Below are 27,024 nucleotides of genomic sequence, written 5' to 3' on the forward strand. Positions count from 1 at the left end.
ATTAAGTTTATTTGAATTATTTGTTATTTTTTATCCCCACATATAGGGAAACTAACTTGAGATGAGGAAAGATTAACTTCTTCTGAGATCATTTATCCAGCAAACAGCAGAACAGGGATCTGTATTCCCATTGTTTTTATTTATTTATTTGTGTATGCTTGTTTCTTTCATCATCCATCCAATCAGGGAACAGTCTGCCTTCCTTTATCAAATTTTAATTAAGGAACAAGGCAAGAAGAGTTACCTGTAAATTAGACTCTGACAATTTAAATAGAAAAGAAATCTATCATGGAATTGGTGGCTGTAAATTTACAATAAATAGACTTGTATTTGATTTCTGCAGAATCATGATTCTTGGAAATAATCATGTTCTAGCAAATAAATACTAACATACCCACTTCTGATTTGGCTTCTGTGGAAGAAAATTTAATATGCCATTTATTAAAGAAACTAGCGACTTTTTATAAAAAATTGTTAATTGAGATAACATTGGAAGTAGCAATAAGAATACACAAGAGTATACAAATCATCCATCCACAACTCTACAATCTGGAGAGAACAACATGGTATATATGCTTCCAGGTTCTTAAAATTATCTTACACATATGCGTAATTCTTTAAACAAAAAAAAGTGATTACACAATATGTACTCTTTTTAAACTACTTTAAAAAATAAACAAATTATGAGCATTTTCTCTCTGAACATATACATATACTCATTCTTAGTCACTGTTTAATGTACATTCCATGGATAAGAAGTTTTCTTTTGCTACATGTTTCAGTTATTTCAAGTTTGACATTCTTATAATTCATGCTCCAGATGAACATGCTTTTTATCAATATTTCTGTACTTCTCTGATTATTTCTTCAGAATATATTTCTAGAATTGAATTGCCAAATCAGACAATGTGCATATTTTTACAGCCTTTTAGACATTGTGCAAATTGCCTTCCAGGGTGGGAAGAGGTGGATTCCTTCTATCATACCTCTCTGTCTTAATGTCTGATTTCTCTGTCCAGATACTATTTTCTGAGGTTTAGAGACTGGGTTTGATCCACATTAGTAATACTTATTACCAATGACTTTAGAAAAAAAAAACTATACATGCAAACTCTTACATTTAAGCTTAATTCAGATATTTTTGCTTCTAGACAGCTCTAAAAAGGAAGTGAGAGCCTCTAGATTCTGGTGCACTGTGAATATACCTCATAGAAAGTTTAAAACCATAGTTTCTGGCATGAGATAGATGGGGACTACCCCAGAAGTGTGACACTGACAGTATAACATAATGGTTAAGGAGCTTACATTCTAGAGCCAGTATATCTGTGTTCAAATGCTGGATCTATTTCCTACTAACTGTGTCGCTTCTGGTGATTGCTGAATTTTTCTGTGCTTGTTCATTTACCTTTAAATGGGAACTATAACAACCCTAACTTACAGTGTTGTATGAAGATTAAATGAGTTATGTATGTAAAGCCCTTGAACAGTGTTTGCCATATAAACATACTACATAATTGTGAGCCATTATTAAGGCTGATGTTGCTATTTACCTGTGTGTTATGGAAAACCTAATACATAGTAGATACTCAAAATTGTTGAGAGAGTAATAAAGGAATGATGAATATGTTAAGAGAGATAATTTTTGGCTAGAGACAAGGATTTTGGAGTTATCTACAGAGCAAAGGTAGCTGAAGTAGGTAAGTGACTGAAGGATGCAGCAAAGAAAGATGAGGAATGAGGGCTTTGCCCCAAGAAATACTACTTACTACTCAATAGCAGGACACAGAAAGCACATCTACCACCCCTAGGCCTGAAGAGGAAAGGGGAGAGAGTGATTAATAGAAACTGGCAGAGGAGAATGTTTTAGAAAGGAGCACTTGATAGGATATTCAGCCACTTTGACTGCTGTCCCCACTCTCCCTGCCTCCCCAGAGAGAAAGCTGAAAGAATACCATACCATAGTAATCTTCTCTTTCCCTCCAATCTCCTGCTCAGGTTTACCATTGGCTGGATCAAAAAGGAAGCCAGAGGGTGAGAGTGCCTGTTAATATAATCTACCAAGGTCAGATGTAGGAGGATGGACCATGGATCTGGTGGGTCAAGTGAAAGAATTCCAGTGCAACGTACCTGGCAACTAGAAATCACTTGTGTTCTTCAGCACTGAGGTATTTGAAGTCTTCTTGTTCTTCTCTCTTTGTAGTCTGATCTTTTCCTTCTGTCTTCTTGTAGAAGCTCTGGGAAGCCTTTTATTGACATTTTTCCCATGTTGGAAACACACTGTTAAGTTATACCCTGGTGGATTTCATTTTCCACTTGGAGAGCCTAACCTTTTTGTACATTAGAGAATTACCGAGCAGTTAGGCATTAAAATATACAATACATATCACAACTAGGCTTGGGTATAGCCTGAGAAGACTGAGGCAAGTGGGTGAGGGAAAAGAAAGGGAGAAAGCCCTATCGACCATGCAAGTGAATTTGAGGTGTGGAGCTTTGTTTATCTCAAGGATGAAGGAAACATGGGGCTAGAGAGGAAAATATCTATTTCATTTTGAAGTCTAGATACAGTCATCAGACAGCCTTGCTCTTTGAAAGTTATATTGGAAGAAAAATATTATACATGTGGTTACTGAACAAGGCCTCCTCGCAGATAGTTTCTCACTACTGATATTTTGAAAAGAGATTCAAACCAATTAAGAAGGAATTCTTATTCAACACAAGACCACCTCCCATCCCCCTCCTAACTAAAACTTGCGCAGCTCTTTACAATGTGGTGGCAGTTATTAATGTTATTATCCCATTTTGGAGATGTGGAACTGAGATTGAGGGAGGTTAAGCAACTTTGTCTAGATCACACAGCTATTTGGGAATGACTCTAAAAGCCTTCCAATAAAAAGATGATGTTCTTCCACTAAACATGTCCTGGGAAATATAAAAAAGGAATATCATTTCTTATTTTTTATGAAAAAAGGGTACCACAATAAAAATTATTTATTGTTTTTGATTAAATTTTAATTGAAGAGATATAATTTATACATATGAAACAATGAGATAGTTTCATACATTTAAATATAGTGAAGACTCATATTACCTTGTTAAAAAACTCAATTGATTCCCCTCCAAACCTGTTTCTCTTTTCACGTTTCCTTGGTCGCCACCATAATCTTTTGAGTTTTATGAGCTAGAAATCCAGGTGTCATCCTAGATTTTCCCTTCTTTCTTAACTCCTACTTCTGGTCCATCCTCAAAGTCCTAAAGACTGTTAAAAATCTATCCCCTCCTCTCCAACCCCACTCCTCTGCTCTGATTTGTATCTTACTCATTTCTGACCAGAACTGTTCCAATAGCATCTTCACTGGTCTCCCTAGCTACTGGCTTATCCCAATTTGATCCATTTTTTTTATGGCAGTTCCCTGGAGACTTTACTGAAAGCCATATCCGAGCATGTCATTCCCTTTACCAATGTAGCAATTCCCAAACTTCAGCTATTCTAATCCTGATTACATGACTTTAGTCATAGCTGCAGGTTATCTATGATTCAGCTGGTATGCAGCAATATGGCCATAGTAGTTGTTAAATAATCAAAAATTACTCTTTATAATTTGCCTTGTTTTAAACAATAATAACTGAAATCCCAGGTTGTAGTATATTGGTCACATAATGTTGTTCTAAGAGGTTCATTAAAATAAATACAAAACTACTAACTTTAAAAATCATCTTAGGGTAAATGTTTCACCATTCATGAAATAATGTGTTACTGAGACCTACAAGAATCAGATCTTGTCATTCTCATCTTCTCTCATTGGGTCTTATATTTTTCTGTTTGTAATTATAGATAACTATATATTCTTGTATTTAGGTTTCATTCACTTATTTAACTAGTTACTTCACTTAGTTAAACAAGTTTAGGTCCTGGTACTGAGTAGATATTCAATAAATATTTATTAAATAAGCAAATGAAAATAACCTGCCTGTCCTACTAGATGTGAAACTTTTTTAAATCAGTGATCAATGTGTTGGTGATTTCCGTCTCTCCTTTTTTCTAGATCACTATACAAATAATAAATGTTTGTTGAACTGAAGAGTTAGAAAGTACATAGATAAAATGCATTCCTGGAAATAAGAAAAACGAAGGGTCAACATGGACCAGTGTGGTCAAGGAGGGCTTTGATGGCAGTGGTATGACTTGAGATAGGCCTTGATCTGGGGGTAAACAGAATGAAGGTGATAGGGAATTCTCGGTGGGGAAGGAATAAAAAATCAAGGTGAGGCAGATCTTGACAGACTTATTTAGAATAGATAGGGTGCATTTGAGAGTAGCTTTTTGTATAGTAAAGAATTTAACCTGGCTCAAAGGAGTTCTGATGTTTGCCCTTGGCTTCTGGGAGGTAATCTCTAGGCATGTGAAATGTCATGCTTGATAGGAGTGTCTTTGCCTCAGGGCCTTAGGTCATACTAGGTAATCTAACAAAGTGATTTAGGGGGTGGTTGCCCATACCAGACAGTAACAATAGATTTAGGGTGTGGGTTTGGGGTCACACAATATTAATCCAACTTCACAGGGCCTGGAGACTGAGATCAGCTCCATGTGCATAGTCAATCATGACTGTGTGATGAAGCCCCACTAAAAACTCTGGACACCAAGGCTCGAGTAAGCTACTCTAGATGGCAGTACTCTGGGAGTACTGTCACACAGTGAAATCAAAAGAATAACATGTCTCTGATTCCACAGGAAGAGGACAACTTCAAGCTACATGTTTGACACCCTTCTGGACTCTGCCCTATGTGCTATGTGCCTATTACCTTGGCTGATCTCAATCTTTATCCTCTATCAGTAACAAACTGTAACTGTGAATATAATTTCTTTCAGTGTGTTCTGAGTCCTTCTAGTGAATTGTTGTATTTGAGGGTGGTTTTGAGAACCCAATGGACTTGCAGTTGGTGTCAGAAGTGAGTGGAGTCTTTTGTGAACTCTTCCTTCTAAATTTACAGTTGTCTAACTTTCCCACTTTTCAACTCATTCTTATCTAAAATTATTTTTTAAAACAAAATGCTTTCAGAATCCCAATACACAGAGCAGATGTATAAGAAGTTGCTCTAGATGCAGCAGGGCTGCAGGTTCAGTATCTGGCTGTCTGTCTCTCCTCTCACTGGGCTTGGTAATCCTGAGGCCCCTCCGCAGAAAGCCAGGGCTCCACAGAACACCCTCAGAAAACCCCAGTCATTGGCTAGGTTTCCTGTTAGAGGAAGAAAAGGGACATAACATTTTTGAACACCTACTGAATGTGGCCTTGGGAGCTAATTCATGGCATTTCATTTAATCCTGCAATCACCCACTCTTGGTATTTGCCCCTTTTACATGCATAGAAAATAGGCTTAGAACAATTAGGAGCTCGCCCAAGGCCACACAGTGAGTCCAAGGCAGAGCTGGGATTAGAAAGTCAGTAGAAGTTCAACTTGATCCTTCAATAATAAGGAGATAACTCGGGGGCTGGCATGGGGCAGGGATTTCACAAAAGAAGAATTGGAAGAATATGTGGTGTCAGTGTGGAGCAGAGAGAAAAAAGGAGAGGCTGGGAGATGGTTAAAGGTGAGTAAAGCCAGGGATGGCTGGGCTTCAACCTGGCTGCTAGAGATACAGTGAGGATACAATTTAACTTCACAGAGTCCTGGCCTTTTAGGTCAGCATGAAGAAAAGAACCTCCCGGAACATCGCTCTATGCCCCACCTCTTTAAATGGTGAAGAAAAAGAAACATCTTTTTGTGTTTAAATTTTTAAAAAAGTGATTTCATTTTAAGTCACTCATGATTTTACCTGTCAAAGGCTTTCTCAGAACTGGGGGAAAAATGAATAAAACCTGGAGAAGATCACTAAAGTATTCTAAAACATGAAAGTGTTTCAGCGGTGTCCATGAAAAAAATCATGGTGACCTCCACCAAACTGGAGTCAAAACTCAACGCACTTTGTGAGATGAAATTTCTTGACTTGTATTTTACACACAAAGCGGTATCTGGCAAACAATGTAGGGAATGGGGAAGCTGATATGATGATATAATAGCTAATGAGTGTGAAGCACTCACTCTATTCTGTGCCCAACAGGTATTTGTTCACACTGTAATCATGGTAGCCCTATGTGTGAGGCAGGCGTGTTTAGACCCACGGAGTTGTTATGCACAATTGTAATCAATTGTAACTTGTTGTTTAGTGTATATATCTTCTTTTCTAGAATGTAAGCTCTGTAAGGTCAGAGATCTGATCTGTTTTACTCACTGCTGAATTCCCTGAAGCTTACAATGCCTTACACCTAATTGGTACTTGCTAAATACTCTGAGAATAAACATTTAGTATGTATATTACAGCCGAAAATTAAAATCCAATTCTTATGACTCTCAGGTATAATTTTAGGCAATGCAATGAGGATGCAGAATTAACTTTTAGCCCATAATAAACTGGCCCTGTGGCTTACTTTCAAATTGACTTCTGTTGTGTTTAGTTACCTGACCAATTTGAACCTCGGTTTTCCACCCAGGAATGAAATGCTTGGGATTAATGATTCCCAAGGTCCCATGAATCTTTGTGAAGCTGTAAATTTCATTAGTTAGATTTTTAGTTTAATTCATCCTTAACAGAAGCAAAGCCTGTCAGATTTGATGTTTGCCATGTTGCAAACCTGGTTCTAATATAATAACATTTTCCCCTTCTTGGGCCAGAGGATCCAGATAAATCCAAAATAATTTGGAATCTGTTCCCAGTGGTGAATCTCCCTGGAAATTGAAAGACCTGCTTTCACGTTCTTTTTTTGTGAGCACCTGATGATATTGGACTTCTGTGGCTTTCAGATTCTGCATCTGCCAATAATAATAATAATGTGTAATATTAATAATAATATTAAAATCCAATATTCATGGAGTAGCAGGTTCTGTGTGATAACTTGTATTTTTAATTCATCTAATTTGTAAGACAATGTGATGAACCAGATGTTCTTATTGCCAAATGACTAAGCACACAGATTTAGAAGTAACTTGTCTAGGGTCTCATATCTTGGAAGTGATGAAGAAAGGATTTGCAGCAGATTTCTCTGACCTATAGATTTAAACACTTTAGTCATTAATTTATAGCCTTTAAGATGAGTGGATTTTGTGTTTTCTGAAGTGGATAAATCTTTGTGAAAATCCCCAGAAAAATACACATGATTACATCATTCAATATTCTGGGGGCATTGTCAGAGATTTCATAGACCCCCTAAAATATAGTTAAATGGAACTGCAAGGAAAAAAATACAAAAATGAGATTGTGAAATTTTGAGTAAGGATCTAAGAGGACCTTTTAGAATGAACTTTCAGAGGCCCATGAAGAAAATCTTTAAGGGAAGTCACAAGAAGTACAATTAAACCCTCTCATGGGGAGTCTGTATACTATGGGTTTAGCTATGCTAAGGGCCAAAACTATCTCCTCGCTTGTAGGCTAGAGATTTCAGCCTGGTTGCTGATTCCCACCATTGTCACGAGTTTCCATGTTTGCTCCAAGTTCTCAGATTTCTGTTTTTCAAGTTTAATTTGCCCGGGACATTGCAGGAAGAGAAACCGTGGGGGCATGATTAAAAGCATATGGCGTATGAGGTGGGGAGGAGGAGCAGTGAGCACAGCAGGAGGGAGGAGGATTGCTAAATTGAGTGTTTCTAATAAAGGAGAGTGGGAGAGTATTTGCTGCTTTTCCTTGGGCTAAACTGTACTGTGCAATAGCGTGCTCTCTTGCCCTCCAGGCCTAGAGTATAAGGTAGAGGAGGTTAGGGAACTGTGATGTTAGGCTGTATGGCTGTTACTCTGGCTGTCATTAGATAATATGTGAAAGCACTCTTGGAAGGGAAAATTTGTGTGTGTGTGTGTGTGTGTGTGTGTGTGTGTGTGTGTGTGTAATTTCTAGCTCAATACATTGAAAGGAGAGTGGTAACTTTCAAATCTGACCTGGCATCAGAACCCGCTTGGGAACATTCTGAAAATACGCATTCATGGGCCCATCCAAGACTTTCTAAATCAGACTCTTTGGAAAAGCCACCATTTTCCTTTAAATATATACCTCCCTTGTGTTGTTGATTACCTTCACTTATGTATCAATATTCTTTTATGATATAATAAAATTTAAATGAAATCCCTGGATGTTACTGCTCTATAGGAATCTAATGCCCACTGAACTGGACACATGGATTTTCAGCAACTCGGAGCTCATCCTATCTTCTTTCGGCTTCGGCCATACTTCATTTTGGGGAATAATCCCTCCCCAATCACATGCAGCTTTAACTGGATTTATTGGGCACTTCTTTTGCTCCTGCTTAGCCAATAGACAGGTAGAGTCAGAAACCAGGTCAGTGGGCTCTCTCCCTCTAGGCTTTGTATAATGTGATAAAAAGACAGAAAAAAAAGAAGAGAAAAGTTGATGCTCATTCTCTCTGGCATGGTCATCTTGGTTAGGCTCTGCAGGAGTTCCTGCTCCTGGGGTCCACAGGGCATCTCTGGTCCCTGTCCTTTCCTGGCCTGGTTATCCAGGCCTTCCTTCAATTCTGTGAGCAACCCAAATCCTTCTAATACATTTATTTTAAACTTAATTTAGCCAGAGTCCACTCCTGTCCCTTATCCCAACACCCAACGTTCACTCCAACACCTTTATTTTGCACAAGACGTAACAGAGCCCCGGAAACCCTAAGTGACTTGCTTAGGGACACCTGGTAAATAAGTGGCGGCTCTGGGCCTGAACTCTAGATCTTTTGGTTTCAAGGATGAGCAGAAAGTACTGTTGCCTCTATCAGATGGTTCCTCAGTTTTCTGTATAACCTCAGTGTGGTCTTCTAGATTCTTTTGAAAGTTAGGTGAATGTCACATTTGCAAACACATTTTCTATCAGTTCTCAAAATATTTCAGAGGCCAGTGGGCCTTGCATCCTGGTTCCCTGCCTCTGGCAAGTGCCTATTTTAGATGTTTCCAAAGAAGATGAATCTTTCCTCCTCTGGTGCACCTGACCCAATATGCCAGGCCTGTGGGGAGAGAATACTTTCTGCTCACAGCCAGTGGTCATCCATAAGTCCTAAGTATTGATTGAAGATGGTTGGGTTGAAGAGGTACAACAGCTATGTTATTTTAATCTTGACTTTTCTCCCAAAAAGCATTACTGTATGCATTTTGTAGAAAAATTTGTATTAGTTAAGTCTCATTCCTGAACATGGAATCTGAACTGGTGAAATCTTGTAGTTGGGGAGGAAGGAAAAGACACAGGTAGTGGAAGATTTGAGAAATGCCTAAAATCTTGTTTTCTCCTGATAATTTCCTCCTATTTCCTCCTATTTCTCCTGATTATTTCCTTCTATTTTTGCATCATTCAATGCCCTGGGTTAATAATGATTCTGTCTATTTTAACTCAATGTTTATCATTTCATACTGTTGTTATCATTTATACCATACCTTACATTTCACACTATTAAATTTTCCCACACCCGTGGTAAGCAGACTCCTATGAATGAAGGAATACTTCCAGAGTGGTCACTATCATGGCCAAGGTCACTGATGACCCATAATAGCTGCCCCTTCTTTTATACTTTATTGCTGTTATCATTATGGCAGTGTCTTTTGGAGAGGAATAAAGGATTATTGCAAAAGATACAAGAGAGAGCTTTAAGTCAGATGTGAGAATTTTCTGACTCTAAATAAGATCATTCTCCAGTGTGCCTCCCCAACTCACTAGTGATTATATAATTTGTTAATCCATTTATTCATCAAAACTTTTATTACTCTCCTACTGTGTACCTTCAGTTCCAAGAAAAATAAAACATAGCACTCACTCTCAAAGAGCTTGCTATTTAGTGGATTGGTTCTAAGGTTACAATCAAGGAAAAGGGAAATAACATTTGGGGGATAGCTAACATATTCTTGTTATGCATACAATTTCACATAATACCACTTAGAGGTCTACAAAAGTTATATTTCTCCCTGTAGATTCATAGTATCACATCTACAAAATATTTACCACAGTATCTGTCACTTACTAAATTCTCAGTAATGGTATCTATTAAATAATTACTTAAACACATGTGTGATAGTCTTATACTCTCAACTTTTTTGTCATCAAGAACATCTGAACTCCTAGGTATAGCTTCTAATAGGGCCTTCACAATCTGACCCAAACAACTTCCCAACCCTTGCTATTTTATATTCTACTTTGTACAACTTAATATAAATAATTTTTATTTGCTGTAATGTGCTAACTACTATTTATCATTTAGTATCCGGTTCAGAACTTGTTTGCTTTGGGAGGGCTTTCCTATCTTTCCCCCACTGAGTCCTGATTTCCATTATGTTTCATAGAGACCTCCACTCTAGAACCATGTCAAATAGTACAATCATGTATTTTGATAACTATCTTTCTCCCTAGACAGATTCAAGATGAGAGACTCTCACTCTCTTTCCTTTCCAATTTGGTACCTGACATAGTACCTAGTATAAGGGGCTCAGCATATGTTCACAGAATAAATGAATAGCTATCCACCTATTATGAATTAGAAAATTTTAAGGCCTTACTTTAAAAAAATTATATTTAGGTTCAAAATATTTTACACTAGACTGGAACATTTTGAGAAAAGTAAAAACTGTGATACTGTGGCTCATTATTTCCTTTTTGCCAGAAAGAAACTTTGAAATAATCTGAAATTATCTAGTCTCTATCTCATTCAAAGGTGGGTGGCATATACTAAGTCCCAAGCTGAAGTGGTAATTGTTAAAATACTTGCTAAATTTATCCCAAAATATTCACAATGGGTCTTTTTCATGTGTTATTCCTGGGTGTGTGTTGAATGATTCAGTGATTCAATATTTTTGACCAATATTAATTGAGCATATACTATTGCCAGGTACTCCTTTAGACATTTTAGGATATAATCAAGACAGATAAAGTAGAGTCCCTTCCCTTAAGAAACTCATAGTCGAACTAGGGAGACATTTACAATTATAATATTGAGATGCTGTAGTCAAAAGTGTTGGAAACCAATTTAATAATCTGATCTAAGTTTAAAACAGGGCATGTATTACAAGCAGAAAAGAACATAACTGGGACTAGAGAGGAGATTGGAGACAAGATCTAGAGAGCCATTAAACCTCTCTCCACCTTGGATTCTGCTCCTCCCTACCTGTCTGCTTCTTCTGCTCTTCCTGGACACATGGCACCTGTGCCCCTCCGATACCTGTGGCTGAACAGGGGTAGCCATATCACACCACTTTTTATTGTATATCAATTACAGTCAAATTTCTTACTGGACTTCTGAATCTCTCCTTTCCATTCTTCAGTCTTCCACCTCTTCATCTTTCATAGTTTTTCCCTCTTCTGTCCTCTCTGTCCACTTGATCCTAGCTAAAAGGTGAAAAAGCACCCCCCATACCCTCGCTCCTAATTTCAAATTTTTAGGAAAGATTCTGCTTGGTCTAACTTGTCAGGTAGCTACTTCTGAGCCAATTAGCAGTAGATAGGGGTGGGCTACAATGTAAAACGTGGCTTTCACCATCTTACCCTGTGATCTGTTGCTCTCTAAGATGTTGGTTAACATAGTAAGGAGTTGAGCAGACCATTCAAGAGATGTCTTCTACACAACAGGGAGAATTAATATAAACTAAGCTCCCTTAATTATATTATGTTGCTACATATCATGTAACAATATGATAGAGTGGGGAAAGAGAGCTCAATTTATATTAATTCTGCTTTTAAGAAGGTATTGGTCATAAAATAAAGACTTCACAGAGAGGCTTAATATTTGGTTTGGGTCTTTAAGAGGGGTATGATGCATCAGTTCCTGAGTCTAACATATGTTAAAACTATAACAGAGTAAGTAAAAATTAATAGCATGCAAGCAAATCACCTAACTACTTGTAATTCTGAACAGAATCCTCTGGAGCAAATACGCCCTATAAATCTCACAAAAATAAATGAAAAATAATGTTGGTTATCATAAACTAAGTGGGAGAGAGTATGTTGTGTACTCAGGAGAGAGTATCACTTTTTGCTTCCTTCTAGCTCTGTTATAGAAAGTGTTAAAATGTATTACCAACCAGGCTCTTGATTTAGAAATGATCCATGAGCCATGAAATATTAGTGGGAGTGAGTGTACTGGTGCTATGACCATTCTAGGATATTAAAATGCCATTGACATCCATAACTACCAATGTATAAAAATAACAAATGCTAATTAAATGACCTGAGTGCTGAGAGCTTGCAGTTTGGCCCTCGTCAACGTTTCACTTCTTGAAATATAGGCCACTCTGCTTTCCCTGCTGACGTCAGACTGTCCAGGAGAATATGCACTTCATTACTCCTCTGCTATCCATCAAAACTTCCATGGCCAAAAAGTATGAGGGGAAAACAGTGCGTTCTCCTTTCTCCCTTTTTCCAGGCCTGAGATCTTGTTGAAAAACAGAGTTCAGATTTTGGATTGAGGAAATGGTTCCCTGGTTCAAGATCATCTGATTATACTATTGGGATTTATCAATGAATACTATTCTTCCTTGACAAAGCTTCAATAATGCAGTCTGTAAAAAGGCATAAGTTTGGCATTTTCTCTAATAAAAGTATGTGAGTATAGTTGAGAGTCACGTGCTGAGCATTACAAATATAGATAGATAGATAGATAGATAGATAGATAGATAGATAGATAGATAATCTGAATTTAAAATTATAGAAAACTGTTGATTAAAGTGGTGAAGAAAATGGCATTCTTCTGTTGGCTCATCAGGTATTTATTGAATACCTACTGTATACAAAGCATTTGTTCAGGTACTAAGAATTGTCAGAAATGGATGCTAAGGAATGAGATAATGTTCTTGTTATACTGAAAAGGAAACACATATGGATTAAATGACACGAGGACAACTACGGAGGAATGTATCAGTGCCTGTTAAATATCATCCAAGTACAAACTGAATACGTAATGCCAAGAGGAAGCAGTGTTAAAGTGATCAAGACCTCAACAGACACATAAGCAAAAATTCTGAAAGATAATTCACAAAAGTGAAAATGTTGTTTGTTTACAAAGATGGGAGGATGTTGGTTTTCACTAATAATTAAGGAAATACAAATCAAACTGACATCACTGATATACCAATCCTCTCTATCAAATTGGGGACTTTTCTATTTCTCTTTAAAGGAGGCCCTATCTCATGCAGGCAAGGCTGTACAGTCCATTGGGGAGCTACTTTGGCAATATGTTACAAACATCTTCAAATATTCACACCCTTTGACTCTGTTAATTCCAATTCTGGGAACTTTTCTTCTAAAGAAGTATCTAATTCTAAATAACAAAAAAGCTTTTTGCACAAAGAGGTGCACAGTGATGTCTCTTTCAATAGTGAAAGATTGAAAATAATGTAAGTTCCTAAAACTTGATAATGATTAAATAAATTATGGTAAATCTACTTAAGCGCTAACATTTATTGAATGCTAACCCTGTGCCAGATACTGCTCTAGACACTTTTGATACCTTAATGCATATAACTTTAATGGAAATTTTATTAATATTCTAATTTTACAGATGAGGAAACTGAGGCAAAGAGAGGCTAAAAACTTGTCTAAGGACAGCCCCAAATAGCACATGGTAAGGCAAAGATTCAAACTTAGGTGGTCCTAGGCTGATCAGCTATTTTATAGGTATTTAATGAGTTTATGAAGCATATGAAATAAAAATGTTTATGAAAATATTAAATTAAAATGCCTAATACAATGTAAGACTATAGTATGATTAAAGGCTATGTTCAAAAGCTAGCATAGATCTAATGGATAGATAGATATAGTATATATTTTAAATTTTGCCGGCCTTTAAGGTCTTTTGATTCTGTATTGTTCTCATATTTTCCACTGCTTCATTCCATGACTACTTCTCCATAGTCTAGGCCATGCCCTTGCTATTGCTCCATCCCTTCTGCACCTTTCCCTGCTTGGATACATCCTGTAAATTATAAATGACTTCCTCTTCTTTGTTTAGGAAATCCCCTGCCTTTACCCTTTTGTGGTTGTTTTGCAAAGCTCAGTATCATTCTGTATCCTCCAAGATCTATCTAAGATTCTTCCCCTCAAGGACCCCTCATAGTGTGCCACTGTATCCCATGCTGTCCCATTTACTCATTGCTTCATGTGTATTTGTGTCTTCTCTCCACTGACCTGCCAACGCCTTGGGGGCAGGAGTTACTTCTTACGTCTCATATCTCCAGCAGCTCTCACCAGAGGACTGAGCCCAGGAAAGGTCCTAAACACACATTGATCCATTGAAAGAAGTTTTACGTTCAATAACAAAGCTTTTTATTAAAAGATTAGTTGTTGCTAAACATATTTCTGCTTATGCTTTAAAATAGAGGAAATTTCTCTAAATAAACAGGGGTTTATTTCAAACAATAAGAATTGCAGAGAAGTTAGACTTCATCACATAAAATAATAATGGAATACTGAAATTGGGAAGAGATCTGTAGGGTCATGTCATTCAATTCCTTATAGGACCAGTGAAGAAAATGAGATCCAGGGAAATACAGTCCTGGCCCATATCTGACAGGAGGGGAATCAGGACTAGAATCCCAGGTGAGAGCTGAGATGGACTGGATGACTGCACTGTTCCTGACCACATTTCGATGACTCATCGTTTTCCCTTGGGCTCCACCCCACTCTCCCCCAGTGTTTTCCTTTTATTTCCTTCTAGTCGAAAACACGTACCTTCCCGCCAGTCCTCCCCTATAGGCAAAAGGTCCTTAAATAACCTCCTTTCCCCCTGAGAAGAAAGGAGAAGAGAGGAGAGAGAGAGAGAGCGCATTCGTTTACTGAACATCTTTCTCTTCCCTGATCCCTTCTGCTCGCTTTTCTGCACATACTGGCACAAACTGCCCTGCGTGTTTGTGGAGAGACAAACCCTGCCAGATTCTGCATTCAAAAGTTTTAGGTTTTATTAGAAAGAGCTGTAACACTTCGACCACAGTACATGAAGCCCTCTGACATGCAACCACATGGCCAACTGAGAACCTTTGAACCCATAACTTGACACTTGTTTTCATTTTTAAAAATCCATTAATCTTCATTAAGCATCCCACTCTCCACCCAGGTCAACAATGGCATTTCCGGACCACACCATCTACATTGGAAAAAAAAAATATTTCTTTCTCCCTACTCACATGGGTGAATGAGTACACACACTCACAAACGCATGGTTCCTAAATAATGTTTATTATGTAACATATGGTAGAAAATTAAAAAGGCCTGTGGCAGTCACTGCAGTGTGCCGGCCAGTAGCCCCTCACTGATAGTGCCACCTGGTGGTCCACATGCCAGAGCTGTGGCCCGTGGTAGCTCACATAGCCTCCACAGCTCAGGACAGTATGCTCTGAGAACTGATTGAATGTGACTTTTCATGCTTCCCTGAAGCCTGCTAATGGAACATTGCATGATGCAGAAGGCAGCTTGCATTGCAACACACTGTAATCTGGCTGGAATTAAATGAGCTTAAATAACAAATGCTCAGATCGTGGTTACTAATTAAGAGTGATGCCAGAATGTCTATAAATTTTACATATGTTCCTCGTTTGGCTGCAATTTTGACAATGAGTAATGCAACACAGACTTGGTCACCTGACCTTCAGGCAGACACTCTGGTTTTTGAGGATCTATAATCCCAGTGAAAATGTTGAGACTGTAAATCAAATTATGTCCTAAAGACCGCTGCATTGACCAGGGGTGACTAGTTCAGGCATAAGTGTATTAACATGTGTGTATTGGGGGTGGGGAGAATAGTATGCCTTACAATAAGATCCGAACAGATGCCAAGGCCAAACACTAGGATGGGCACATATAATTAGTAATGGCCTTCATCCATTTAGGTGGTCCTAGGCTGACGAGATATTTTATAGGTATTTAATAATAAGTTTTGAAACATGTATGTGAAAATGCTTATGAAAATATTAAATTAAAATTTCCATTAAAATGTAAGACTATAGTATGATCCACTAACAGCTTCATGCATTTATATGTGTCTTACAAATATTTGGTACCCAATAAACAAGGGAAGGTTGAATCTGAAGAAAGATTTCATGTGCTGCATCATCGCCCCTTTATAGTGATCTTCTTGGGAAATGTTCCTTAAAGCAAGATGATGACGTGTGCAGCACAGTCCTCCAACATCAAGTGCAGACCAGTCCCTCCAGGACAGCCAAAGTTCATTACTGGTATGAGGTATCCCTTCATTAACTTCTAAACTTTTCTCCCCTTTGAGGTATCCCTGATATAAAGACAAAGTGTCAATTGCAATTAATCTTTTTCCCCTTTAGAATTAGAACAGAGAAAAATAGTTTTTTATAGATATACCTCTGTCTTACTCTCATCCCACTTCTCACTGTATTACCTGCCTGGTCCCATAGGACCCTTCCCCTAGAAGGACTTTTCAGAGAACTGTTATCATAGTTTGGTGACAAACAGCACATGTTTTACATCATAGGCACCTATATTCTAATTCTGGGCTTATCCCTCTGAGACAGATGACTTTTTCTGAGTCTCAGTTTCTCTTCAACAAAACATAGATAATAATACCTACTGTACAAGGTTATGGTGAAGATGAAAGGAAATAATGTACAAACCACATTTAGCACAGGATCTGGTGCAAACAGGCAGTCAAAAAAATAGGAGCCAGTAATATTATTAACATTTCTCCTCTCCAGTTATTTTCCTGATGACCTGAATTTTTGGGATGAGTCAACAGTATTGGGTGGTAGGAAGTAGGAATGAATGCTCCTATTTGGTGGATTGTTGAATACTCTGAAACTTCTTCAGGACTATGCAACAATTGGGTTATGGTTATCAACCAAAATTCAGACCTCTGATTTAAAAAAAATCTATAGATATGTATATATCTAATCAGATATCTTGTTTCCCTCACGTTGGATTAGCTAACACGGAAAATATCCCACATTATCAGAATAAGGACAGCATGACAAGTTTGACAAAAAGTAAACACCACTATTGCATTGGGGATTTGGGAAACCCAAGGCCAAAAAGTAACTTCAGTCACTGTAGAGTATGTAAGATAGATGTGAAGGTCCAACAATATAATTTCCCTCTGTGCTAAAGCTGCCGAACCGTAGAAGACAGTTTTAACTAAAGAGAAGATCTACCAAGGTCTCCTGCAGGGAGTTGTGTTATGTGAATGGAGTGAGTTTTAATTTTAGTCTGCAGATCAGAGCTCAGTAATACAGCACCACTGTCACCAGCAGGCCTGGGCTTTGTCGTGATGGCTTTCCTTTGTAACCCTAGTGGTTTGGCATTAGAGTCTCTAGTTTCAGTGTATTAAATATTTACCAACAACCTATTGGCCATATGTCGTTGGAGTGTGTGTGGTGACAGACTCACTACTTGGCACCTTTTCAAGTAGATTCTGTAGGATCTGCAGGGTACTGCAGGCTCACAGATCCTTTTTAATAAACAGCTCTTTTGTTCTTTTTTGTCCTCTTGTTCACTAAGCTGGTGTCAATATAATATGCAGGGTTCTGAGGAGGTAAACTCATTCAATCCTTCTCCTTCTATATTCTGTCTTCCTGGGGTGCCATGAACAATATCAATATTCCCTCCTCATTGCTTATTTACCTGACAATATTTGCTTTAATAATGTACAGATGCAGAGGCATTTTCCTTTACAAATAAAATTATTCTGAGAGTTGAATTCTGCTTACGTTCCTTAGTTGCCAATGAGTTCTGGTTCATTTTATGCTGTTTTAAGGAAAACTCACATGAAATTATGAACTTTGGATTCAGGCTTGGATTTTCAAATGGAAAGCAATTCCCTAAATAAGATGTAGCTGTATATGACACTAAACAAGCTTGAGAGATGTTTTGAAATGAAATATATATATTTGATTGAAATTGACTAAACTTGTGAAGAATCAGATATCCTCTATGATGACAGTTCTGTTTCAGCTCAGATCAACTCAACAGATGTTTCCAGAGGGCCTGCTTTGTCTGTGTTTCTTCCTTTGCTAGGCATGCAATTAAAGATCAATAAGATAATTTCTTCCCAAGGTTTATGGGGTTGTCCATCATTGTTTTGAAACTAGTAGTTCTCTCCAACACCTTGACGTATACAAAATGGCAATAGCTTTTATTTCTAAAGATGCTTACTTAAAGCAAACATATTGTTATGAGTGCATAAATTCATAGCTTTATCAATTATATACAGCCAACATTAGTTTCCATTCTCTTACAGTCTTTACAATCTGCAATCTTTGTAGATCTGCGATAGTAGATCTACATTTGAGCAACTCACTTGTTGATACATGAGGTAATATTGACTTCTGATTCTTCAAAGAACCTGAAATTATGTCATTTTTCAGGGGTTTAGGGAAAAATGAGAATCTTATTCTGAATTTAAGCTTAGTAAAGACCTTGGCGTTCCATACTTCTCAACTGATACTCTTTTACCTGTATTGTATGAGGTGAAAACATGTTATTAGTACAGAGTTTCGATGTGTTCTGAATTTGAGCATCAAAGCAAGGAGAGCCATAGAGAGTTAAATGTGGACCAGGTTTCAGTCATGACCCCTGAAACCACTTTCTTTACAGTTTAGAACTGGATAAATAAATAGATAGGTCTAGATATTCAATATTGTTCTGAAATTGTGTTTTTAAAATATCAAAATGCTGATTAGGCAAGTTATAATAAATAATGCATTATATGCCAGACAAAATAACTTATTGATCATAGCCAGTCACAATTATTTAATATTTTAATGTGTAAGTTTTATAGTGTATATAATAGGAGGTGCAAGTTTTGTCTATCAGCCTAGAGTGGGCAAAGTTAGAATATGTTTCAATGTTAATAAAATCATCTGTACTTGTTGTATATGTGTAATATAGCATGCTGTAATCAGTTTCAGTTTACTGTGGGATCCATATTGCATGTTTAAGTGCTTAAGAAAGGAGGTATTTCAGGTATTACAGCTATAATATCAGTGGAGAGAGCTCCGACTTAAGAATTAAGTGCTGAGGTTGTAATTCCTGGTTTTACTACTTAAATTTAAAGACTTTTTCACATATTTAATATCATTATTTTGTTATGGTCAAGATTTAAGAAACTGTCCAGATTTTGGTGATTTCAAAATAACAGGTTAATACCAAATAATGACAATCATAACTGACATTTGTGCTGTGCTTGCTATACACCAGGCACTTTCTAAATATTCTCTATATATTTACACACAATACTCCTTAGGTCAGTACTGTTGACTGCAAGCAATTATAATCCAGTGAAAGACAAGAAAACTGATAATCACACCCAATCAAATTTTCAGGTTAGGATGGGATACTAAGGAACATATCATAGGAGGATATAATAACTTCCTGTAAAATATGGGATGTGTGTATGTGTACACATGTGGGCAGAAGGTGTGGGGCTATGATAAAGCTTGGGAGGAGAAAAGGTAGAGAGCAAAAATATCCCAGGCTGAAGAAACAATATTACAATGCTATCTCTGAGACAGTGAAAATTATTTATTTTGATTAGAGCAGATTAGGTGGTCAGGGATGAGGTGAGTAATTGAGAGATGAGATGAGGTGAGACTGGAGAAGTCCCTATCACAAAGGTCTTTATTTTAAGGTACATTGAGGAATTTGGATTGTATCTTAAAGGTAGCCCATTGGCCTCCCCATGTCCGCGCCATTCATTATTAATCAACTATGACACTGAGCTTCAGAATCCTTCTGAACATAGCTCTCTAAGGTTGCCACTAAAAATTAATAGAAGTTGGCAATGAAATTGAATTGATACATGTTATTGTTATTAATGACATTTTAGAAACAATCATTCATTTTATTCCTATTTTATAGATGAGGAAATTGAGATTCACTGAAGGAGAAAGATTACACTTCTTTCACTTTGGCCTGAGCTAAGAAAAATGTGCTTCTGTTTATTCCCCCAAGATGACAACTTAAGTCTTTGAGTCTATCAGTTCCAGGCAAGGGTCAAGCTCCACAGGACCAGCCATCAGGGAAATAACATGACTTGTTATTTCCAGACTACGTTCAGGTATGTGTCCACTACAGACTCAGGCACACAATTTCTCTGATTTCGACTAATAGTTGGACTATTTTCCTTTTCAGTTTCTAAGCACAAAAGTATTTATTCCATTTGTTCTCATTTCAGATAAGAGATCTTGTTGCCTCCAACTGAGCTTGGGTCCTTAAGGACTTGAGTTTGTTTGTTCCTAAATCTGGCTTTGGGGGTTGGATAACATATCTATTTTATAGCTTCCTCTCCTTTTCCTTTAAACAGAACAGCTGGTCATGCTCCCTCTCTCGGACAATAGAACTTGAATGAGTCTAAAGAGGCCCAGAGCTTCAAAACAAAAAGTTTACCTGTAGGAGTGAAGGTAAGATAATGTCACTGCCTAAAATGTCACTCATTCTTGCATGAATGATGACAGAACTATCTGGAATCTTTGTTGCTAAAGCTTATGAAAATTAAATCAAGTTAAAGATACACGGATGAAGAAATGATGTCTTAGATATAGGATGACTTTCCCACAGTCGCATAGCTAAGAGATACATGATCAGGCTTTGAATGTTTGAGTGATCCCAAACCCTGTGTTCTAGCCCCAGTACTGTGTGGCTGCTGGGATAAAACTATTCTCTCTTAGGAGTAAGATGACATTTTCAGTCATGGTCATTATGGTGTTATGGGTGGAGGCATGGACTTGAGCCAGACTGTGGCCAGAATGCCTTGAATCTGAATCCCCAGCCTTGCTATTTATAAACAGTATGACTTCAAGCAAGTTGCTTAACCTCTCAGACTCAATTTTCTTACATGCATAAAGCAAATCATGATTATCTTGTTGGGAGGATTGCGTTTGATCAGTGGTTTCAAATTTGAGGGGTGCACAGAATCACCTGAAAGACTTGTTAAAATACAGAGTCCTGGCCCCATCCTAGAGCTCTGATTCCACAGGTCAGGAATGGATCCTGAGAATTTGCATTTTTTTCTCAAGTTCCCAGGAGATGCTGAGCTCTTGGTGAGTATGAGAATTCTTACATGAGGTAATATAAGTACAGTGTCTAGTTTAGTGAGTAGCTTATTTGGTGTCAGTCATTCCTTCCCCCTTCCTAACAAAGGATAAAAGCTTTGAGGAAATGGAATGACAAACAAGTTTTGATCAGGGAAGAAAAGAAAGAAGGGAAAGCTACTCGATTAATTTAAAATGCTATCACCTAATGAAAATCCCGAGGGAAAACTGTAGTGGTAGGAGATCCTGGAAAAGGGGAAGTGTATGGAGAAAGAAGGGAGGTGTAGGAAGGCTAAAACAAGTGGAGAGGGTCACAGGCAGGGAAAGCGGTGAAGATCAAAGTTAAAGTTTAGTAGGTACATTTATCCTTAAAGACAGACCTGGCTGTGGCTTCAGACCGATTTGCAGGCAGTTTCTCAGGCAGCTGCTTTCTTGGCCTTCCTTGAACACTGACTGCTTTCCCTTTTGCAAAATGTACCAACATAATTATCTCACTTGTTCATCTCAATAAACCTGCATGGCAGGGACTGGTATTACCATTTTGTGTATGTATAAACTGAGACTCAAAGAAGTGAAAGATTTACCCAAGTTCCGACAGATAGGAAGAACTTAGATCCTGAGTTCCAAATTGCTTTTTTTCATCCTCTATGCTGACTTCTTATGTCTCTCATCTCAAAGTGTTAGGTACAATCTCTGAACAAAGAAACTAACCCCAAGAACAAAGGCTGATGTGTCCAAAATGTGGTTCTAATCTCATATGTCTCTTATACCTTGAGGTGATAAGAATGCTTGAGTTGTGCTTTTTACCTCCAGGCTGGAGCCCTGGACTGGTCTCCTTTGCACAATCTTCTGCCCAGGCAGAGCCTACCTGACAGCCTGGGTGTGCCCTGGAGCAGCACTGGGATTTTCCGGGATCTGGTAGGCCTGCTTTCTTGCCTTTTCATAACACTCAGTCTTTGAGGATATACATGCAGCTTTCCCTTTGCATTATTTAAGAGATGGTTTCCAGTAAGGCAAACAGTTGAATTCTAAGTCTCTCTGTGATGCTGGCTTTAGGATTTTCTAACTTAAAAATAAAATTGCTTTTTTCTCCTTCACTCACTTAATCGCTGAAATGCCAGTAAATGGTACCGATGCTTTTCCCAGTCTGAAGCCACTGCTGTGAAAACATGGGGAATCTTCTTGGAGAGTGGTCAAATTCTTTGTGCAGCATCTCTTATGGGAAAATACAAGCTCTAGGCTAGTCTGTGATCATTTTCATCACAAGCACAGTTGGCCTACCGAATGATGGATTAATTGGTTTCTGGATTCCTTTAGCACCTACAATAAAGATGAGTAGGAAACCATCTATAACCTTGGGGAAAATATAGTCTTGAAAGGGCGGGTTTGGCACCCCTTTATGTAATTTATACAAAATCTTAAAGAGGAACTCTTTACTGTAATCCTCATAGTGTCGGAAATTGCACTGATAGATAATTAGCTTTATCAGGAAACTACGTAGGTCTTCTATTTGTAAAACAGCCCATTGCTACAATGCAACCTGCATTGTTGTTTTCTTTCCTCCTCAAACTTTTAGAATTTCAATGGCTGCTTCTTTTCAAAAATTTGTCAGCCTCTCCTTGATTTTCTTATGGTTTATCAGGCTAGCTGCACAGTTCATTGTAATCTCAAGATGGCCTCTATCTTGGCTGTCTTAGAATACAGTTGGGCGATACCACAAACATCCTTTTCTTAATGTTTTCTTTCATGTGGATGAAATGTTACTAGTGCAGTCCTCCTGCTTCTAACTGACTCCTGGACAGGGTGGAGGGGAGACTTAATCTGATAGATGACTTTGAAAAACTCAGCCCCTTTCTCTCCTTTACCTTCAGGGGAACTTACCTGCTTGCAGAGGGCATGAGTTTAGTGACAAAGGCCCTGTTCCTACGGACAGATGACTGCAGCTTTCCAGAACTATCTATGACTACATAGATGTCTGCTAATTCTAAAGTTTAGTATGAAGAAACCTACACATCAGCAGGTGTAAGCTACATTCTCCAAAATCAGCTTTCTCAAATATTTATCAGTGTCTTATTTATCAGTGTCTCCAGAGCGGGGATGTGGAAGAGTTGTATTATTTGTTGGACTCAAATTTTAAATCTCCCAAAATAGAAACACCCTAAGCATTTGCATTTGAAGAGTTTATTGCTATTTAATATGAGAAAGTGATATTTATTTATTCAGCAGATATGTTTGTTGAATGTCAAATCTGTACCCAGAATTATGCCAGACTCTTGAGATACAAAGATAAGCTCAAAGAGCTTAGGGGTCAGTAGGTGGGACTCCACAGAAGCAGGAATTTCCTTGTACTATGATATTTGCTATAACAATATAAATTTGTACAAAGTGTGAAGAAAAGTTAAAAAACAAAAACAAAGCAAACATGTCCTGATAGAAACTACAAGGCTGGGAATTTACACACACTCCAAACATGTCTAGCAATCCTACAGTCAAAGTTTCCACTTTATAATTTTCTTCTTCCCAATTTGTAATCTAATATTCTTTTGCTTTCTTTTTTTCTGCATGGGATAGTGAGAAAGATGTTGGGCTCAGCATTCTCAGCTCTACAGTCCAGGTTCCAATCCTGGCTCTGCATCTTTGAGTGTGGGCTTTGGAAATCTGTCCCCAGCATAATGGGAATTAAATAGTACCAGCCTGATAACTGGTACAGAGAAAAAACTCATTAGATATTAATATGAACTTTTATTAATAATTATGTTATTTATTATTATATTGTTTAATAATATAGTATTTATTCAATAAATCTTTATCAAGCACATCTTCTATTGCAGGCACAGTTCTAGGGTCTGGGAATCCTCAATGAATACAATAAATTCTTTCTTCTCCCTCAGGAGTTTATTCATTTCCAGTCTCTAATCTAGAAGGCCTTTTCCTCCCATGAAGGATCTTCATTCTGAAGGTTGGTATGTAAATTCAGCCAGAGTAGTCGGTGTGAACTTGAAACCTAGGAAACTTCCATCTCCTTATAGTTTTTAACCCTTTGAGGATAAGTTTTGTAACTATATTTTCCAAATGTAACACCATTGTCTGCTGACAATCTGTTCTACATTAATACGCCATTTTTTTATTCCACATTCTTCTCCAACACAATTTTACTACTCCAGAAAACTTTTGCCCATAAATTTAAAAATCCAAAGAATGACTTCTCTTTCTTTCAGCAAGTTACCCATAACTCATTTAAAACTGCTCAGTTTTTTTAATAGACAGCATGAAACAACTGCTTCCTCTCTAAGCCTCCTTGAAACTCTTGCTTTTAAAATCCTTACTTCGATATATCCACCAATCATAAACCATTATATTATAATCCTTATCCAATCAAATCAAAGGCCCACCTTAAACCAGCACCACCCCACCCAACCTCATAAATATCTTAGCTTTGCCCTCCTACCTTGAAACATTACCGTATCTCTGTCAAGGTAGTAAATTCTCACAGCAGTGAGCAATAAACTCAGTTTTGCTTGACTAATAGGTTATTTTAGTGATATTTTAAAAATAAAACAATATTTAAAACTTGCCTTTGTCATCATGACTTTATCTTCACCTCTTTCTAACTGTATGACTTTGGGCAAATTCCTTGATTTTTGTCAGCCTGGGTTTTCTAAATGGAGATGATAAGAACTGAACAAATGTATAGGATTGTTGTGAAGGTTAAATGGAATAAGCCATACAGCTTACTAAGTTCATTCAGCTCTGAGCTATGACTAGCTCTAAATAATGGCGAGAAAATGAAGTGTCATGATTTTTGAGCTGTTTGGCCCTTGTACTTCTTGTTGGGATTTGGTAACCTGATTATAAAAGCAGATTTTACACTGTGGCTACAAGAAGCTCATGTACACACTGCACTTTGGGGTATACCACTTGATTTTTTAAGTGGAGATAAAATTCAACAATAGTAGAGTTGAAACATTCCTCTCAGTTTTTTCCAAGCATTTCCTAGATCAGCAAATTTGGCCAGACTGACAAAAACTTAAGGAAATAAATTTTCAGGAGACATAAGCAGAGGAACCCTTTTGACATGACAAAGCTGTTCATGCCGGTAGCAGAATGGATTGCCAATTGGCTTCATTTAACTTAATTTTGGTCCCAGACAGATAGGCTCCAAGGGAGGGGATGGTGGAGGGTGGGAGGGGCAGGGGCTAGGGTCGGGGGGCTAGGAGGCCCAGGGATCACTGAGCAGCCTGGGAGCAGACTTTGTGATCTGATGAAAACATACATTCGCAGCTCTGGATGGAGGGAAATGGTGCTTTGACTGAGAAACTTTATGAGTTCTGGAGACTTTGCATCTTACTCTGAAGAGGAAAAATACATAGATTATAGCAATTTTGATTCTTTCTTATCATCCAGAACTTGGTTGAGATTTCCTAAGTCTTCTATGAAATAAACTGCTCCTCTAATTCTATTTTGGTTTAATGAATATTTGATGGATTGATTTATCATTTAGCATATATTTATTTAGCACCAATTTCATCTAAAACATGTTGTCCCTTAACATGCATCTAGTTATATAGGATAGGTAAATACAATTATTAAAATGTATTGTGTTAATGTTATGGAATGTCATTCACAGGTGGACCTGGAAGGGACAAGCTAATCTCCATTTTTTTAATCTGTAGTAGTTAATTTTATGTTTCAATTTGATTGCATTAAAGGATGCCCTTTAATTCAATCATTAAGTTTTACGCTGGTAAAAGATAACTTTGGGAGTATCTGTGAGGACGTTTCTGGAAGAGATTAGCATTTGAATCAGACATACCCTCACTAACATGGGTGGGCACCATCTAATCTGTGGAGGGCCTCTGATCGAACAAATAAGTGGAGGAGGGGTAAGTTCTCTCTCTCTCTCTCTCTCTCTCTTTCTGAGCTGAGACATCCATATTCTCCTGCCCTCAGACATTAGAGTTCCCGGTTCTTGGGGCTTGGTACTTACACCTATGGCCCCCTTTCTTCTCAGACCTTCAATTTTGGACTAAATTACACCACTGCCTTTCTTGTTTTTCCAATTTGCAGACAATCGTGAGACTTCTCAGCCTCCATAATCACATGAGGCAATTCCCATATTAATCTCCTCATATGTATATATGCATACATATATGTGGACCCTTGAACAATGCAGAGGTTGGGGGTGCCCACTCCCTGCACTGTCAAAAGTTCACATAAAACTTTTGGCTCAGGAAACCTTAATTACCAATAGCCTACTGTTGATTGGAAGGTTTCTGATAATATAAACCGTCAATTAACACATATTTTATATGTTCTATATATTATACACTGTAGTCTTACAATAAAGTAAGCTAAAGAAAAGAAAATCATAAGGAAGAGTAAACAGTTTTACTATAATCTATTAAGTGGAAGTGGATCATCATAAAGGTTTGCATCTTTATTGTCTTCACCTTGAGTAGGCTGAGGAGGAGGATGAGGAGGGGTGGGTCTTGCTGTCTCAGGGGTGAGAGATGCAAAGGAGGTGAAAGGGGAGGCAGGAGAGGCAGACATATTCAGTGTAACTTTATAGAAATACATTGTAATTTCTGACTTCTTTTACTTATTTCTCTAAAAATGTTTCTATATGGTAGCACTTCTTCTACTGTTTGCTTTAGTTTCAGTGCCCACGTCTTAGAAGAATCTATGTCACAAAAGAAGTTAAAAGCAATTTTGAATAAACACAGCTCTTCTGACAGATTGTCTAATATCACTTTTTCTGGTGCTTCCTTTTTTGTTTCTTCTTCCTCATTGCCTGGCACTGGTTTGGAAGCACTCATCTCCATCAAGTCATCTTCTGTTAATTCCTCTGCTGTAGTGTCTACTAGCTCTTGAGTTATTCCAAGATCTCTATCTTGAAACCTTTCAACCCTCACCTTTTTCCTTATATCTACAATCTCTTTCATGGTTTTCTTGACTGGCTCTCCCATAAATCCTATGAAGTCA

The 27,024-nt window shown here is 37.7% G+C and overlaps 1 long non-coding RNA gene across 1 annotated transcript in view; it reads left to right on the forward strand.

Moving 5' to 3' along the window:
• LINC02758 (long intergenic non-protein coding RNA 2758) overlaps nt 1–20,407 on the forward strand; it is a 140,695-nt gene extending 120,288 nt beyond the window's left edge. Inside the window, exons 6-8 of the long non-coding RNA XR_002957243.2 lie at nt 1,996–2,165; nt 19,871–20,069; nt 20,316–20,407. This is a non-coding gene — a long non-coding RNA (long intergenic non-protein coding RNA 2758). The remainder of the gene's footprint in view (nt 1–1,995; nt 2,166–19,870; nt 20,070–20,315) is intronic.
• Nucleotides 20,408–27,024: the final 6,617 nt, after the last annotated feature.

The sequence above is a fragment of the Homo sapiens genome, chromosome 11 (genome assembly GCF_000001405.40).
Source record: "Homo sapiens chromosome 11, GRCh38.p14 Primary Assembly".
Classification (NCBI taxonomy): domain Eukaryota; kingdom Metazoa; phylum Chordata; class Mammalia; order Primates; family Hominidae; genus Homo; species Homo sapiens.